Below are 19,306 nucleotides of genomic sequence, written 5' to 3' on the forward strand. Positions count from 1 at the left end.
GTTCCTTAATATCTATGTGACAAATTTCAACCTGTTAATGTATAAAATCATCTGGGTTGACCTTTCTGTCACAAATCCAACTACCTTCTTGTACTCTTCATATGGATTCTCAAACTCAAAACTTCTAACTTTTATTTCCTTCCCCAATCTTCTTTTCCTGCTCCATCCTGGTCTGCTGCTCCATCTCAATAAATGGCATCACCATCCTGTCACATAATCAGGCCAAAAACCTAGAAATTATTATTACTTCCTCCTTTTTCACGATCCAATTATCAAGCCTGCTCTTTTTCACCTCTTTCACTGCTACTCTCCACACCACCATCACATCCTGCTTGGATTATTGCAACTCTAGAGTCTATTTGACTCAGAGCAAATGGAGTGATATTATTTAAATTTCAAGTTTAAAAAATATGTTGCTACCCTTCTTAAAGTCCTCCTGTGGCTACCACTGCTATTTGAATGAAATCTGATGCTACCTCCCTCCATAAGACCCTACATGATTTGTCCAGTTATTGTCTCTCTCTCTCCCCAAACTTCTCTCATATGTACTCTCCCTTCAAGTCACTCTCTCTAGTAAGATGGTCTCCTTTCTGTCCCTTAAACTCACCAATCTTATTCTGGCTTTAGAACTTCTGCAGTAGCTATTTCTTCGTTAAACTGAATCTTTTCATCATTTAGAAACCATTCATAAACTACTTCCTCAGAGAGGCCTTTCCTGACCATCATATGTAAAGTATAGCTCTTCCCCATAATCAGTAACGGCCTATCCCATTTTACTTTCCTCATATCACTTGCTAATATCTAAAATTATTGTACTTTATCTATTAAGCTCCATGACAGCACGGACCTTGCCTATCTTATTTCTCACTGTATCCTCAACACCAAAACAGCACTACACACCAGCCATTCAATAAATATTTGTTGAAGGAATATTTAGTTATCAGATTTTATAAGCATACTTCTATATTATACTGACTTTCCATATTTAACCTCTTCATATATCTATATATAAAATATGTATAAATATATACACCTATAAATATATAAATACATATACCTATATATAAATATATAAATATATATAAATATGTATATAAATATATATATAGGACCCATGAAGGCCAAGTATATAAAGTGGGACAGTGGCTGAGTAATTGTACTTGATAATGATAAAAAGCCAGTAAGACTAGGTGACATACGTGTGGGTTACATGTACAGAACACAGAACAATCTTTTTCTTCTATTTTTCTCATGTAAAATTGATTGTGTGAAGGTAGTATTTGAAGAAGTACTGGAGCTCTAGTATTAGAACTTGAAAATTAACAGAAGCCCAAGAGAAGCAACATTATCTTCTCTTAGCCCTAAACTAAGTTGTTACTTTTAAAACGATAATTATTTATTATTTATTTATTTATTTATTTAAGTCTCATGGTCAGCTCTAAATTGTTACAGAATTTATTTGGAAAGGAGTTCAATTGAGTCATGTTAATTTCTGTTTACTCTTCTAGCAAGGGAAATAATTTGCTACCAGATTTTGCTAGACATGCTTCACAAAATTTACCTGGATGAAAAGCATCAAAGACACCTGACTATGCTGGCATTACAGACTGACAAAAGACAGAAACTTATCAGTATCTATGGTGAAGAGGAAGAAGTAGCTAATAATTTCATCATCAGGTACTACCACAGAAATACTAACAGTTAAAATAAATGGGTCTGAAAATAAGTAAAAACCATCCTATATTTTCATTATATTAGCGTGACTATTACATACTATTAAAAAAAAACTTATTGTAGGGAAATATTTAGCAGAACTCACAGATACCAGCATAGAATAAATGCTTTTTCAGAATCATGTAGTTCACAGAAGCCTTACATTTCTTTATGAATGAATGAAGACCTTTCTTTATCTCTTCCTAGCAAACAACCTCTAAACAAAGCTTGAGATTTTTAGATCTCATTCCTATGACATTACTATGACATAAAAAATTCAGGCAGTTTACCTCATCTGTGAGGATTAGGGCTAAGAATTTAGGTAATTTTCACTGTTTTTATGCTAAAGAAGACTATACCATAAACATAACCATAACTTTAAATACCAGGTGTCTATGTATATCCTACTGACATGCAATTTAACAATTCAGACCTCTCCTGTGACTTCCAGACTCATAACGAAATGCCTACTCCACATCTATAGTTGAATTAATAGGTATCTCAAATTTAATATGTAAAATCAAACTCCTAATCTTCCCTCTCAAACTTTTTCTTCGTAAGTCTTTCCCCTTTCCAGTTGTTCAAGTCAAAAACCTTGGAGTCATTTTGCACTCTTCTTTTTCTTCAACCTTCACTTTCAAACCATCATCAAAACCAGTGATCTCCACATTCAAAATATAATTAATATTTAACCACTTCTCATTGGTGCTATAAACCTGGTTCAAGCCTCCATCACCTCTTGCTTGGATCATTACTACACCTCTGCTAAAAACCCTCCAATGGCTTCCCATCATATGCAGAATAAAAGCTAGTGCACTTTCAGGGGTCTCCAAAGCCTTACCACTGGCCTCCTACTACTTCTTGTATTTCATTCCTTACTATTCTTTCCCTCCCTCCCTTGCAAGCTCCGTGATCTCCTCATTGTTTCTCAACCTCACAGACTTTATATTTTCTGTTCTTTCCATCGGATACACTTTCCCTAGTTTTCTACATGGTTCACTTCCTGAACTGCTGGTCTTTTCTCAAATGTCACCTCAGTTAGGCTTTATTGTCCCTTATCATCCTTTATCATTTCAAAATGAACCTCTCTCTCAACAGTCTGCCCCCTATTTCCCTTTTCTGTTAGACTTTTGTCCTTACTTCATGTCACCATTTAACATACTGTATGTTTTTCTAGTTTTCTTTGTTTATTGCTTGTCTCTCTCTCTCATTAGACCTAATGCATGTCGATGAAGGCAGGGACTTTTTTTTTGTTAAAATTTTATTATTATTCCACAATAAATATTTATCTCTATCTCTGTAATGGAGGGTAGGTACAAATATGCCTATTTAAGGAAAACAAACATTGCTCAAGGATCTTAAGACATGGACATCCTTACAGAGAAACAAAAGGAAGGTAACATTTATTAAGCACCTACTATGTGCTAGGCAATCTGCAGGTTAGTGACATACTATTTAATTCTCACATCTATATGTTTTGTGAGTTCTCTGAATGTAACAAACAAGAAACTGAGGCTCACAGAGATTAAATAAATCTAAGAAGAAAGATCTGATTCTAGCACATCATGTTGGAGAAGCTATTTAGCAAACCTCAACTACTCCAATCAGCAAAACTCATATTCTTGTTCTTTCTTTAAAGGAATATTTATATGGTGGTATGTATATGTTTAATAATAACCTCAGAATAGGTACTGGTTTCTTCAAATCAACCTTTTAGAAAATGAAAAAGAAAGGTTTAAAAAAAGTTAGTATTCTTTAGCAAACTCTAGAAACAGTAAAAATTACTGAAATTCTTATCCCTAATCCTTACAGATGAGGTAAATGGCCCGATTTATTATTATTATTATTTATTCATTTTATTTTTGAGACGAAGTTTTGCTCTTGTTGCCCATGTCGGAGTGCAATGGTGCGATCTTGGCTCACCACAACCTCTGCCTCCTGGGTTCAAGCAATTCTCCTGCCTCAGCCTCCCGAGTAGCTGGAATTACAGGCATGCGCCACCACGCCGGCTAACTTTTTTGTATTTTTAGTAGAGATGGAGTTTCTCCATGTAGGCCAGGCTGGTCTCGAACTCCCGACCTCAGGTGATCCACCCGCCTCGGCCTCCCAAAGTGCTGGGATTACAGGTGTGAGTCACCGCACCCAGCCCTGAATTTTTCATGTCACAGTAATGTCACAGGAATGAGATCTAAAAATCTCAAGCTTTGTTTAGAGGTTGTTTGCTAGGAAGTCTATTAGCATTTCCTGATATAGGAAACAAAACTGTCAATATTCCCAAAGCTGTTCTTTCAATTTATGGCTATGGCTGTGGTGGTGTTGCATTTGTTAAGTCTCAGAGAGACTAGTCACACAGGCAACAACTTTTTAAAATACATCCTAGAGCCCACATCAGTAGTTACTCAATTAGCAGAGAGAAAGCTAGCAAAGACAGTCATAAAAATAACAGAACGTCAAACATTCAAATTTATTAAACACACACGCACACTCTCTCTGTCTCTCTCTCTCTCTCTCTCTCTCTCTCTCTCTACCTGAAGAATGAATGGCTTTGCTCCTTTTCTGCATCACTTCCATTAATGCACCCACAATTCCTGAAGTGGGTGCAGGTGTTGGTGGTGTAGACTCTTGGCCATCAGCCACCTTGGAAAAGAAAGTTAGCAAAACTCAGTAATAAATCTTTAGCCAAGAATCTTTGTCTCCAGAAAGTCCTACTTTCTTAGAATCACTTCTTATTGTAAAAGACAAAAAAGATATCAAACTGGCAAGCGCAGGACAAGATTAATCAAATTAACAAGAAATAAACTGCTGCCTTAAAGATATTATTCAAAAATATTTCCTTTCCATCTTAATGTATAAGCCAAAAATACATTTCCAAATCTATGTTTACATTCAGATAACAAACCCTCTCCTGAATAATACTTGCTGGGTTACTTCTGTTTATTCCAGCACACACAGACTTAGATGATCAACTTTAAAGCTTTTATCAAGGGATTTCATGTTATAAACAGAGGTTAATACTTAGACTCCAGAGTTGTTACGTGGGACGCACACTGAAGATATTGAAAAACAACTGTAGAAACTTATATTTGCCTACAAAAATTCAGCTTTACACCTTTATGTTACATTTATACCTTCAAAATGAACCTCTTTTCTCATAGTATATAATTTCTTTTTAAGGAGATGAGTTGATCAACTTTCAAAATGTACCTGCCTCACTAGGCAAGTAACAATCCCTAACTGAAGTACTTCCAGCTGTGCCAAAGTGCATTCATGAAAAAAAAAATTATAATTAAAGATGAAACAGCATAGCTGTATTAAATAATTACCTATGTTTTAATACATACATATATAATATATATTTTTGAAATTCTTAATCATTTCCCAAAGACAATTTTATTTAGACAAACTTTCCATTTTGATCTGTACAATTCTTCCTCTAATACTCCTTGTTCTTTCTGGAGTAAACACCTTTTTTAAAAAAATTCAAAGTGGTTCCCCCTAAGATATAGATTCATTCCTTAGTATTTTGGCTTTAAACATTATGTATTAACTATTTCCAGTATAGAAGTACCACAAATGAAAAAAGATAACAGAGAGTTTCAGAGCTTTGTATTTCTGCACAAGGCTCTCAAGGAGGTACAACAGCGGTAGGGACATTTAGACTACCTTTAAGCAATGTGATAATGTAAAGCAGAGAGCACAAAGCAGAAGTGAGCATACTCTCATCAAACACATTTTTTGAAGTGCTTACTTGAACAAAGTACTATTTGAGGTACTAAAACCATGGAATTCAAAAATATATGTGAGTATTCAATACCTCCTACTAGCTCTTTAAAGTAAGTCTATGGTTTTATGTTAATCATATTCATCACAGAATAAATTGATGATTTACTCAAAAAATTTAAAGAAACATAGCCATAGAAATTTCAACCACAAAATGGTCTTTTTCAAAAAATAACGAACTCGGATTACATGTATAACATGCCAATAGTTCACTGATTATGCACCCTATGATTGCAATAAATGCAATCAAAAGGAAAGTGATTATTTAGGATAAAAATGGCCCCCATTCTTACACATCAATTAACAGGTTTTGCTGCTTCTTTTTTTTTTTTTGGAAAGAAAGGGAGAGTTGGGATGGGAGAAAGTTATGGAGAAAGTAAATAGAAATTTAACTCTTAAACTTTTTAAAATAAATGAGGATACAACTTTATTCGTTAAAAATTTTAAATCACCTTATTATAGCTAAATGAGAGAAAGAAACAAAGTTGGTTTGTGAAAAGGAAATAGAAAAGGAAAACAAAAAGGTGGGTTAGGAGTGAGAGTTACGGGAATGAGAATGACACAGGAACTAGCAGAGATTCCAAGGTAAAAGCTGGGCTGTGGTCATTTTGACATTAATTCTCCCCACTAACCACTCTTTAAAGTTCTTCAACTGCTCTTGACAGGCCTTTAGTCTGATCTAAAGGGGGAAAGAGAACAGAGATGACTGTTCATAGGTTTAAGTGTCATCCTGAATACATGTAAAGAAAAGAGCTAGATATATTTTAAAGATCAGAGTCTTCTTAGATCTATGCTAATGTTTACATGTTTTCATTCAATTAGTTGTGCTTCCTATCTATTACCCTCCTTTTAGACAAAGTTTCTGAGATCTAGAAAGTTACTTTAATTCCTATACTGGGAAATAATTTTCAATTAAAACATCCTCTGTCGTCTCCATTTACTTCACAGAAAAACTCTATCATCCATGACCTCCCTGAAGTCCTGGAGAACATGTTATAAAAGGCTCCAAAAGAAGTATGTAAATGTAGACAGGTTAGGTTCTAGGATAGGAGTCAGCAAACTTGAGCCCATGGGCCAAATCCAGCCTGTTCTTGGATTTTTTTTTAAAACTATCTAAAAATTAAGCTTGATTTTTACATTTTTAAATGGCTGAAAGAAAATAAGAGTATTTTTGATATGTGAAAGTTATATAAAATTCAAATTTCAGTGTCCAAATATAGTTTTATAGAACACAAGCATGTCCATTCATTTATGTATTGTCTGTGGTGCTTCTGCGGTAAAACAGCAGAGCTGAGTGGTCACAAGAGGCCATACTGCCTATATAAGCCCAAGGTTTTACTACCTGATCCTTTATAGGAAAATGTTTGCTGAACTCTAGAAGATTAAATGACCTGTAAGATTAAATGATTACCTCATCCAAATCAGATAATCCTAAATTTATTTGCCATCACTGTCAGAAATTCTATTACAACTCTTTCAATTTTTTTGGTCTGATTCTCTACTAATCTAAATTTTAGAACATGAAAACTTTGGAACATGATTTAATTTTCATAAAGCTACTGGTTTAGATTTCCTAAGGTGATCACAATTGGTTTCAAGTAGGGCTATTTTTAATTCTCACAGCTTAATAAGGATTTTTCTTTAAAGTACCTTTTATTTGAAAGTAAAGTCTAGAACAATGAATTGCAAACATCCTGTAAAATTCCATTCACATGAAGTTCTAGAATAGGTAAAACTAATCTATGGTGATTAGATCAGTGATTGTTTATGGAAAAATTAACTGGGAAGAGGTATGAGAAAACCTTCTGGGGTGACAGAAATACCCTACATTTGGATATAGAGATATGGGTTACATGGCTATAGAGATGTATCAAAGCTGAATTAAAAATTTGTGCATGTCACTGCATGTAAAAGTATTTTTAAATTTATAGGGTTAAGAATGAATTAGCAAGAGGAAAAAAGAATACACTTTTCAAAAATATCTTTCAATAAATTACTTTAAAATTCCATTATGATAAAGGATCTAAAATGAAAAAAAAAAAAGCTTACTTACAGATTTTAGTTGGATACCCTGTCGTATCTGGTCTAACAGTGCATCTCGTCCAGAGCAGGACACTGGCCGACTGTTCTGCTCCACTTTTTTTAGCTGAGCACCCTCTCTAATTTGATCTAAAAGAGCTGCTTTGTTTCCTGCAGTAGTTGGAACCTGATGGTCCCCATCAGAAGGCAGGCCAGGCGGGGGCGGTGGCCCAGGAGGAGGTGGAGGTGGAGGCGGTGGGGGTGGTGCCACTGGCCCTACCCCCAACACAGATGGAGGTGGTGGTGGAGGCCCTGAAGGTGCTGAGGAGGGAAGGGCTGGAGGTGGAGGAGGGTACATCCTATTTGGCGGTGGTGGAGGGACTGCTACACTTGGCCTGGAAGGAGGCGGTGGTGGAGGTGCAGCTGTGGGAGCTCTTGAAGGTGGTGGGGGAGGAGCGCCTCTTCCCCTAGCAGGAGGAGGAGGAGGACCTGAGTTGTGTGGAGGGGGAGGAGGAGGAGGTGGCCCTCCCCTTGATGGTGGTGGAGGTGGTGGTGCTGAAATGCAAACAGAAAAAAAGAAGGCATGCTTTTTTCTTCTCATAAACATCATATTGAAAAGTAATTCATTTTAACATGTATAAAAATTGAATAATACCAAAAAAGGGTCTCATCTTTGCATTTTATTTTACAAAGATACCTGAGCACAGATGATATCTCACAATTTTTTTTGAGAATTGTCAGCCTAAAGATCACTTTCTTATTGGTTCTTAAAAAAATATGAGCTAAAACAGAATAGTTTATTTTTTTGGAATTAGTACCAGTTCTGAAAGTAAGGGGAATAAACATTTTCTACTTTACAAAATAATAACAAAATATACCAATGAAATTAAACATTTTGTTAATTAGCATTAGTTTACATTTTAATAAAAATAAATACCTTCCCTCTTTAAAAAAGAATCAAGTACACTTATTTTTTTAAGTAAAATCAATTCACATTCAGAATTATAGTGTAGCATAGCTTAATAGAATTCATTCACATTAATCTGCGCTAAAGCCCAAATATAATGCTTTCCTTTCAAAATGTAAGCCTTTGTCATTTAATTTACATTTGTACTTTTATAGCATAATGTCTGTATCTCTAAAAATTGTCTGCAATTCTAGTAATGGCATTATAGGAGGCTGGTTGCTTTGTTGAAATGCTCAATTACTTATTCCAGAGACATGAACTGGTTATTAACAAATTAACTGAGAATTTCCATACACTGCAAAATTAAAGTTATTAACAAAAATTACTATTATTCCAGTAGTCATGATATTAGCATTCTTATTCCACATCAGTGAAAATGTAAGATATAACAGAAAAATAAACTTGGCTGAGCATGGTGGCTCATGCCTGTAATCCCAGCACTTTGGGAGGCCAAAGCGGGAGGATCACTTGAGGCCAAGAGTTTGAGACCAACCTGGCTAACATGGAAAAACCCCGTTTCTATTAAAAATATAAAAATTAGCAGGGTGTAGTGGTGCATGCCTGTAATCTCAGCTACTTGGGTGGCTGAGGCATGAGAATCCTTTACATCTAAATATCCTGAGACTAGTACTGGCATAATAATGTTTATGAACTATATAAGTCAATCTATCAATCAAAGTTTAAATGAACACTGGCAATGAAAAAGACATAAGTAAACTGAATGCCTAATTTAAAATGACAGTTAAGTTCTTCAGAAGAATGTTTTAACCGGAGCTTTTGCTTAACTACACTATTATGAGTATGCAAAAGCTAGGAAGAAGAAAAGAAAGCAGTCCTAATAAGGTAGCAAAGAGATGACTGTTAATTGGAAAATTTAGAGTATTTTATCTGCATTTTACTGCAATAATTATTAAGACAAAACTGAAATACGAGGTCCTTTAAAATAAATATCAAATCTTAAAAGGTTATAAATTGTGCTCTCAGGTACAAAAGAAAATTTCATACTTTATCCAAGAAAAAGGATTTGTATTTCAAAATAGAAAGTTTACATTATTTATATTCTGGAAATGCGTATATTACTAATTAGAAAGTGATTATATTTAAATTATTACTTCTGAATTACAATAAAATCTGGTGGTTTATAGGATTCCTTAAGTATAACATTTAGGCAACTATAAGTTTTTACTTTAAAATAGAATAGCTGGGAAGATTTTGTATGGATTTTTATGAATAAAGAATAAACAAAACCTTGTAAAGTTTTTTTAGTTATAATGAAATAATGTTAAGACACAGTGTGATGGGCCACATTAGTTGTCCATAGACTTCAACATTCTGCTCAAGGAAGGGTTCACATGTATGAATGTTAACTGGTTTCCATGAAACTGACCTCAAAAGATTAAAACAAAACAGAACGCTGAATAGAGATAAAAGTTACCTTGCCTCCGCAGTTCATTTTTAACAGCTTCAACACCTCCTGTTTTTTCAATAAAGTCATATATAACTTTTGATGTTTCTCTGTCTTTAAGTTGTGCCTCTGAGATTCCACACATATCGAAAAGATTCTTCAATTCTGGATCCAAATTATTCAGCTACAAAAGAAAGTAACTGCTAACTATAAAAATATATCCCAATTTAAAAAACATAATTTTAAGTCTCATCTGTGTCCTTCTGAAATTATTTTGCCTAAACTTTTAACATGCTTATATTACTTATGTGCTAACTAAAATATTTTATTAAAAAAAACTGAACAGATATATTCCCTATTTTATTCTTCTTTTTTGTTCCCTGCCTTCAAAAAGAGGGCATCTCATTTAGATTTCTATTAGCCTATTCATGATTCAGACATCTCCAATGCTCATTTATTCTACCTTGTCCTAAGTAAGTATGTAAAAATCAGGAATAAACACAAAAAAAGTAAATTAATTTGAAAATCTGAGAGCAAGGATCTTCCTGTAATCCCAAGCACCTTGCACAATGCCCAGCACAAGAGGTGCTCAGTATGTTTGTTGAGTTAACATTGTAGCTATAACAAAAATAACTAAAAATATTTTTTACTCCAATCACAAATAATATCTCTTTAAAATAATGCATCCAAACGCTGATTAATTTTTGCCAGCAGTTTCACAGTGCTATAAAACAACGGCAAAACTGCCAAAAAGAACAGGAGAATGAAAAGATCTGGAGAATTCAACAACTGAATATTCAGAATTTGATTATACTACTTTCTAGTAATTTGGTATACACTCCCCTGAAATTATCACTTGGCAGAAATGATTTTCTTCTCTTGGCTTTCAAAGCACAAGGATTTTATTTATACAGTGTATAAAGCCAAGGTACACAAAACCTTAGTCTAAGTCTTTAGAGACTTAGCCATGAATGACAGAACAATAATATGGTTTTAAACCTCAGTTGTATACATACATAAAACACAAGCACATTCAAACAGATACTAGAAACCACAAAAATGAATTTAAAAAAATCTAAAATAGGCCAACACATTTCCACATACAGTTATAACGTATATGATTTGAAAACATACTTACATCAAAGCCTGTATTTGGATCCCAACCAACATGTCCAATGTGCCTGAAGTAGAAAATAGAAAAAAAATAGAAAAACAAAATGCATAAAGGGCATTATAAACACAATATATATGAAACCCAATCTACATTTGGCTTTGAATTTTTGGTCTGAACTAACAGTTCTCACAGACATAACCATATTGTGATAAAAACTATGTACAAGGAGTCAGAAGAACAGGATTCTAGCCCTGACTCTGCTACTAACTGAAACTTAAAATTTTTGTACAATCTCTCTGAGCATCTATTTCCTTAATTGTCAAATTAGCATAAGAGTCCAAGCATTATATATATGACGGGATAAGGGTTTCATAATGAGCTAATAAAATAATGCATATGAAAATGCTTGAAATATGTTAAATACCAAAGGTTTTTACTGCCCCTAGGCAGTATCTGTAAACAATTTCTAAATGCTATTTTTAGAGCAAAGTGAGAAATCATTTTTATGTTCAATAATTAGTTGAAGAAACAACTTTATCTAATTTTTCTTTTCTCATAGTTGAAAAAGTAAATAAACCATAAGATTCCAAGAACATCTATTGAGCAGCTGCCTTAAAAAAAAAAAAAAACTCCAATAAAGTACATAGTTAAAACGGTATCCAAGTGATGAATGTACACACCCTCCCGAAAAGAGAAGAAAATTTTCTAACAAGTTAAAAATCAAGAACAGCAATGAATAAATCAAAAGTGAAGATAAGAACAACAAAAGAACTGTCTTACTGGAAATTGCTTGGTGTTCCTATATCTGCCTTGGTTAATCTCTTCTTTTTAGCTTTTCCCTTCTTCTTTTCTTTGGTATGGGAGATGTTGTTGACTTGTGGACCATAAAATCTATTTGTTGTGATTTCTGGATTTTTTATATCAACTGTAGCCATGGGTAGATTAGGACCTGCAAATAAAACCAAATTATATAAAAGGGATATAATTTAAGATAACTGATATACAATCATAATTTACAATTTAAATACTTTTTCTGAAATAGGATCACTTCATTATAAATTATTTATATTTTAAACTTCTACATTTTTTTCATAAAGTGCTGCCTAAATTTCTAAAACCTGTTAAGTTCTTGAAATGAGTGTAGATGCACTATTTCAAAGCAAACTTACATTTTTATGCCATTAAATTTCATAAAGAATATGAACTTCCAGCTAGAATTTAAATATAATTAGTCTAATCTCTTAAATTTTGATTATAATAGCCTCATATCCAACACATTGCTCAACAGTAAAGTGAAACATATCTTGTAACAAGGATAAAGAAAGTAAAGTATCTATTTTTGTTTTAAATTTAACAAAGAAATATAGCCTTAACTCTTTGTTTCAACTTTATTAGTCAAGAAGAAAAAGGGTACTTAAAATTATTACTACCATTTTTTCCAGAACTGGCATCCTTAAGTCAAATGATATTTTCCCCACCAGTACGCATACACCTTGACTATCAGAAGTATAGAATTTAAAAATTTAAAACACAAAAATTCTTAAAGCACTCATCTTGTGCAAGAATCAACAGTAAAAATGTCAAAGGCATCTTTCCATATTATTAATAGTATCTTCAGAAGTGGTACTAAATGTAGCAGAAAACTTGTCTTACAATTCAAAATAAAATTCTTGATCTTAAAAGTATGAAAGTCTGAATGTGGAGCATTCAACTGAAAAATTTCTTAAAAATTCAACTAAAGGGCAACACATGTTCCTCAGAGATCCTATTTTTATATATGGTTCTCTGACAAATCCTCCTTTGAGACCAAGTTCCTCTGAGGTGACTACATTAACGACCACTTCCAAAACATATGAAATACTATCATCGTTGTGTAGAAAAGAGTTTAAGGCAGCACACTTTAGACTGCTCTTCTTAGAAAGGACCACTTGCAAGGTTGGCCCTCAGTTGACCACTTGGGAAGTTGGATTTCAAGAGGGTTCCCACTATTCCCTGACAAGGTGGGCTTATTGTGTCTAAACTGTTTGTGCTAACAATGCAGTTTATGTTGAACATCTACTTTCCTTCTGGGAGTCTGAAATCTTGGTAAGTGCAAGGCAGGGTAGACCTATGTAACTAGCCCTCAACGAAAACCCTGGGCACCAAGTCTCAAGCTTTTCCTTTAGACAACATTTCACAAGTTGTCACAATTCATTATTGGAGGAATTAGGTGCAACCTCTGTGTTCTCCACTGGGAGAACTCTTGGAAACTTGTGTGTGGTTTTTTTTTTTTATGAACTTCATCCCATGTGTCTTTCCCTTTGCTGATTTTGTTTTATATGTGTTTTCACTGTAATAAATGTTTGCCATGAGTACAGCTATATATTAAGTCCTGTAAGTCCTGGTGAATCACCACCTCTGAGGATGGTCTTGGGGATCCCCAACATAATCAATAAATGGCAAATAGAAATCTCAAGGCTAATGTATATTAGTTGATCCTTAAAATCCAACTTGACTGTTATTCTTTAATTATGCCCCAAACTGCCAAAGTATCCTACTTACTAAAATTATCTGAAAAAAAAAAAAAGTTTATTTACATGGGTAAATTGTATATACCCTATTTTCTCCCAACTCTACTATTAAAGATAAAACAAAACTAAAACAAATTTATGAAAGCCATGTCACCTTATCAAAAAAGTAAATAATTTGGAAAGGCATATTTTTAATATCACCAAAATTCAACTCTTTTCCCTTAATATTCAAATCCTATTTATATATAATATTTTAATAATCCTAAAGTTTTAGTTACAATTTCATTCAAAAATTCCATAGGAAGTTGTTGATATGGATAAGAAATAGTTTTTGGGAAAAATGAGAGCTAGTGAATAATATGGATAAAATCATTAAAAGCTTTTTTAGTGCCCAGGAATAATATGAAAAATAACTAGATCAGTAAGTAAAGGTGAGTTAAGCAGTATCGAATGACCTGAAAGGGTGATTAGGATGTGAATTTTCAAATTTGCTCAGGTATCAGATTTCGACATTTATGTAGTTGTACAAAATAAAGGACTTACTGAGAATATCCAGAATGTAGGGACTAGAGGGTTGAATTGGGGTTACACTCAGACCTTCACAGACTTATCTGGTGGTCTACTTTTACTTCTCATTCTTCCCTTTCTGCCCTCTCACTTCTTATCTTTACCAGTCAGTATCAGCAACACTATCCACAATAAGGATGCTACAAATTACTTTGTTTCTTATCTTTATATCTTAATAAAATGTAAGAATTAAGACAGAATTAGGAGTATCAGAATTAGGTACTCCCTGGCCAGGCACAGTGGCTCACGCCTGTAATCCCAGCACTTTGGAAGGCCAAGGCGGGCAGATCATGAGGTCAGGAGTTCGAGACCAGCCTGGCCAATATGGTGAAACCGCGCCTCTAATACAAAAATTAGCCGGGCGTGGTGGTGTGTGCCTATAATCCCTGCTACTCAGGAGGCTGAGGCAGGAGAATCACTTGAACCTGGGAGGCAGAGGTTGCAGTGGGCTGAGATTGCGCCACTGACTCCAGCCCGGGCGACAGAGCAAGACCCTGTCTCAAAAAAGGAAAAAAAGAAAAAGAATTAGGCACTCTCTTTATTCATATGACTTTTCCGGAACTAAGTATTCAAATAGCAACTATAAACAATCAGACTCACCAGTAAAATATAAAAACAGAAAACAACAAAAATATTTTCTGCCACTTTAGCTTATATAAAAGCCATCTATTATACTATAGATGACTAGCATGGAAACACAGTTGGATAAAGTTAAGTTTAATGATTTAAATTATCCAAGCTAGTATATTTTTGAAAAATCAGCTTCTTATAACCTTGATTTATATAACTCACTAGAGAAAGTAATTCAGCTGTCTCTGAGGAAGATTCAAGAATGAGGATAGGAACAAAATGTAAGTGATATGTGAAATGAGTAACAATGTTTAACTCATACTGTAATCAGACTGTTTCCCCTCTTTCTCTACCCAAAAATCAGGCATGAATATATTATTATGCATCAACATTATCTCTTTAAGTCATTATAGATGAATTTCATTAGTACTAGTTAAAACATTATTTAAGGCCGGGCGCGGTGGCTCACGCCTGTAATCCCAGCACTTTGGGAGGCCGAGACGGGCGGATCACGAGGTCAGGAGGTCGAGACCATCCTGGCTAACACGGTGAAACCCCGTCTCTACTAACAATACAAAAAATTATCCGGGCATGGTGGCGCGCGCCTGTAGTCCCAGCTACACGGGAGGCTGAGGCAGGAGAATGGCGTGAACCCGGGAGGAGGAGCTTGCAGTGAGTCGAAATAGCGCCACTGCACTCCAGCCTGGGCAACAGAGCGAAACTCCGTCTCAAAAAAAAAAAAAAAAAAAAAAAAAAAAAAAACAACATTATTTAAGTAAGACTATAAAGAAAAATCCATATAATGGAGATATATAGAAAATTAGTATTAGATGGGAAATTAGAGTTTCTTTTCAAAATTGCCTTTCATTTTATTAATGAAAATGAAGGACAGTAAGAGTCAGGTGATCTTTATAAAGTCATATGATTAGTGACAGAAGCAAAAGTGTATTCTGATATCTTGGTTCCTAGTCCACTACCCTTCCAATTAACTACTTTACCTCTTTTTTTTTTTTGAGATGGAGTCTCACTCTCTCGCCCAGGCTGGAGTGCAATGGCGCCATCTCGGCTCACTGCAACCTTCACCTCCGGGTTCAAGTGATTCTCCTGCCTCAGCCTCCCAGGTGGCTGGGACTACAGGTGTGTGCCACTAAGCCTGGCTAATTTTTCATATTTTAGTAGAGATGGGGTTTCATCGTATTAGCCAGGATGGTCTTGATTTCCTGACCTCGTGATCCACCTGCCTCGGCCTCCCAAAGTGTTGGGATTACAGGCGTGAGCCACCGTGCCCGGCCAACTATTCTACCTCTTATACCTCTTACACAAAAGTCAAACTACAAGGTGGATAACACCGCTAATTTTACAAATGTCATAATACATTCTTTGTTTGCCAATTTTTCAGTTTTCTTGGTCTGTGGTCCAACAAGTCATTATTCAACAAATATTTACTAACAACTTACAGAATTTAGAAAAAAATGGATTTCTATACATTCAAGAGGTTAGGTACTCGGTTATTTCTGTTGACAATGGTTATTTACTTTAGAGTTTGAAGATGTTAGGAAATAAGTTTAAAATGGTATTCTAGAGCCAAATTAAGTATCTGTTTCAAGCGACACACTAAAAAAAGTGATAACCTGTTTAAGGTATAGAGCCATTTTTTAAACAACATAAAGTATATGAAAGATTTAGTAACAGATGTACGTACTGAAGTCATTTCTAGTAAAGTTTAATTATTCCATTTATGAAATTACACTCCTCCTAAGAACTACTATGTAAACATATAATGAAGGCGGGCTGTTTTCCTTCTTTTTTAAAAAACAAATGACAAATTAACTCCTTCTGATTAAGGATAACTGTTGCATGAAAAGGTTTTTAAATGTTCTTGTGAACAGACATGTCTAGTTAATTTTAAATCTAAAAGAACTCAAGTTTCCCATTAATTACATAAGAAGCAAAGAAGCCTCACCAAGGAAAACAGTTGAAAAACAGGTGGCCTAGAGGCCTCTGATGTCAAGCAGTCACGAAGCTGAGAACAAATCATTGGAAAGCATATATGCTAAAATGTGAGACTGACCAATAAAGAAATTAGGAGTGAGGAAGTTACTGAACTGCATTTTAGGAATGTATGTAAATTCTACATAAAGTATCTTTTTAATAATTAAAATTTGAAAAGGTGTGGTAAACTGATAATCTAAATAAGGATCTGAGACAAAGCACCTGCATAGCTACTGGAGGACATGGTCCAGGGGCCCACTGCCACCTAGTGGTGGTGCACCAAATACAGTAAAGTAATAATGCTGCCTCCTAAACAGTGGTCTCCACTTAGTGGGGAAAGCAAGATAGTTGAATGCAAAGCAGTTTTAAAATATTACAACTTGTATTAATAATTATTTATTTCATTCTTTGTGTATTAATATATTAATTCCATATTATATGTATATTTTATAAGTATACAAGTATTGGCAATACATGCTGTATAATTTTGTCCTTTAACAACACTATTAAAAAAAAAACCCTCCATTTATTTAATGAAAGAAGTCTGAAACCACTGGGCCAAATGATTAAAACTAAAGATTTAAAACCAATGGCCAACTCATAGAAAGAAACTACATTTAATTCTTTTTTTTTTGAGACGGAGTCTTGCTCTTTTTGCCCAGGCTGGAGTGCAATGGTGTGATCTCGGCTCACTTGCAACCTCCGCCTTCTGGGTTCAAGCAATTCTCCTGCCTCAGCCTCCCGAGTAGCTGGGATTACAGACATGCGCCACCATGCCCAGCTAATTTTTGTACTTTTAATAGAGACGGGGTTTCGTTATGTTGGCCAGGCTGGTCTTGAACTCCTGACCTCAGGTGATCCGCCCACCTCAGCCTCCCAAAGTGCTGGGATTACAGGCGAGAGCCACCGCGCCCGGCCTGAAACTACATTTAATTCTAAGTGGGTCTCTTAGTAGGGGTAATAAAATTATGAAACACCACTGTTATATAAAGAATTTTCAAATTCTATCTATTCATGGAAACTAGATGCCTCTTCAGAAATTCATTTTATAAATGTTCAGCCCTCCATATTCACAGTTCCATATCCATGCATTCCACATCCATGGATTCGACCAACTGTGGATTAAAAATAAAAATGGATGGGTCCATCTGTTCTGAACATGTACAGAACATTCTTGCTATTATTCCCTAGACAATACAGTATAACAACTATTTACCCAGCATTACTTCTCAGCCTTTTGGCTAAGACCAAATGTACCTAGCATTTACATCGTATTAGGTATTATGAGTACTCTACAGAGGATTTAAAGCATATAGGAGAATCTGTAGTTACATGCAAATACTATGTTGTTTGTATCGCAGACTTGAGTATCAACGAAGTTTTGTATCCATGGGGGGATCCTGGAACTGATCCAACATGGATACATGTATTTACAACCTTAATTTTAATTATATTATTTCTACAGCATCTACACTTTAAAATATGGGGTTACTTTCCCCAAAGTGTTTCGATGGCACCACTAGAAAGTCTTCTCTGTTGGTACTCAATACTGTATATACTCTCCAAACTCAAAATAATGTAACAAATTCAAAAAGGTTGAAATACTAGGCTTATATCAAGGAAAATTTCTACTACTACATTAAAAGTTCACAGATGAGCAACCTGTAACTCAGCTGCTTCTGTTTCTTTTGCCTCTGCCATGTACTAATTTATATATCCTGAGACATGATATTTACCCTGTGTCTCAGTTTTGCCTTCAAAATCATCTTGACATAACATAGTGGTTAAAGGGCCAGTCTCTAGGGTCAAATCATCTGATGCTGAATCTTGCTTCACTACTTACTAGTTATGAGACCTTGAGCAAGTTACCTATCTGTGCTTCGGTTTCCTTATCTATAAAAGAGATAATAGGAGCTACTTCAGAAGGTTGCTGTACAGTGCCTGGCAGGTAGTAAAAGATCATTAACTAGTAGTTGCTATTATTGTTGTCATCATCTTCATCAGAATAACTAATATTTATTAAGCACTATGCTAAGCTTTGATTACTTCAATCCCCGTAACAGCCCTAAAAAGTATTAATATTTCTATTCAAAAGAAAAAGTGAAACTATACAATATTTGGTACCTGTTAAGCACTACTGAAGGTAGTCAGGCATTTAAAAAATTAATAATAAGGTAAACAACCCAGAATTTAATACAGCAACATTTGGTTCATGTTTCTGTATCAGAAAAAGAAATTTAAGGACAAAATCAAAAGGCAACGTATCTGTTTAAAAGAAACCCCAACAATCACCAATAGCTGTCATATATTAAGAACTCTGTATTATGTAAGTTTTCCTTGAATAATCATTCTAGGTTCTGATAAGAGGATTTGAGATATGCTTTTAAAAAGCAGCCATTTTCTCTATCATAACAAAGTGTGCTGGAGAATGATTCTTTACCTTCATAGAGTCAGGAACCTCATTTAAATACGATGAAAGCCATGGATCCTCTCTCTCCAGAGAAAAGAACATATTTAGCACACAATTTCAGGGAGTTTATGAAGTCTAGAGTAAGAATTTCTACCCCTGAGACCTTATCTTTTACATCCTGGTATTCTGCTTTTACTCTCTGGTATTCAATGTTTTTTAAAAAATGAATTCATAATACTTCAAGTGGTCATTATCAAAT

The 19,306-nt window shown here is 34.7% G+C and overlaps 1 protein-coding gene across 1 annotated transcript in view, besides 2 other annotated features; it reads right to left on the reverse strand.

Moving 5' to 3' along the window:
• WASL (WASP like actin nucleation promoting factor) overlaps window positions 1–19,306 on the reverse strand; it is a 67,061-nt gene that overhangs the window by 2,858 nt on the left and 44,897 nt on the right. Inside the window, exons 6-10 of the mRNA NM_003941.4 lie at window positions 11,779–11,947; window positions 11,023–11,065; window positions 9,915–10,068; window positions 7,547–8,067; window positions 4,242–4,350 (exon numbers count right to left, since the gene is read on the reverse strand). Coding sequence (NP_003932.3) covers window positions 4,242–4,350; window positions 7,547–8,067; window positions 9,915–10,068; window positions 11,023–11,065; window positions 11,779–11,947 — 996 coding nt within the window. The remainder of the gene's footprint in view (window positions 1–4,241; window positions 4,351–7,546; window positions 8,068–9,914; window positions 10,069–11,022; window positions 11,066–11,778; window positions 11,948–19,306) is intronic.
• Window positions 7,292–7,792: an enhancer, noted in NCBI's record as "H3K4me1 hESC enhancer chr7:123332146-123332646 (GRCh37/hg19 assembly coordinates)". NCBI's record gives its function as "activates a minimal SCP1, AML or CMV promoter by ChIP-STARR-seq in primed H9 embryonic stem cells {active_cell/tissue: H9 hESC(primed)}" and the evidence as "EXISTENCE:reporter gene assay evidence [ECO:0000049][PMID:30033119]".
• Window positions 7,793–8,293: an enhancer, noted in NCBI's record as "H3K4me1 hESC enhancer chr7:123332647-123333147 (GRCh37/hg19 assembly coordinates)". NCBI's record gives its function as "activates a minimal SCP1, AML or CMV promoter by ChIP-STARR-seq in primed H9 embryonic stem cells {active_cell/tissue: H9 hESC(primed)}" and the evidence as "EXISTENCE:reporter gene assay evidence [ECO:0000049][PMID:30033119]".

The sequence above is a fragment of the Homo sapiens genome, chromosome 7 (assembly GCF_000001405.40).
Source record: "Homo sapiens chromosome 7, GRCh38.p14 Primary Assembly".
NCBI classification, from domain to species: domain Eukaryota; kingdom Metazoa; phylum Chordata; class Mammalia; order Primates; family Hominidae; genus Homo; species Homo sapiens.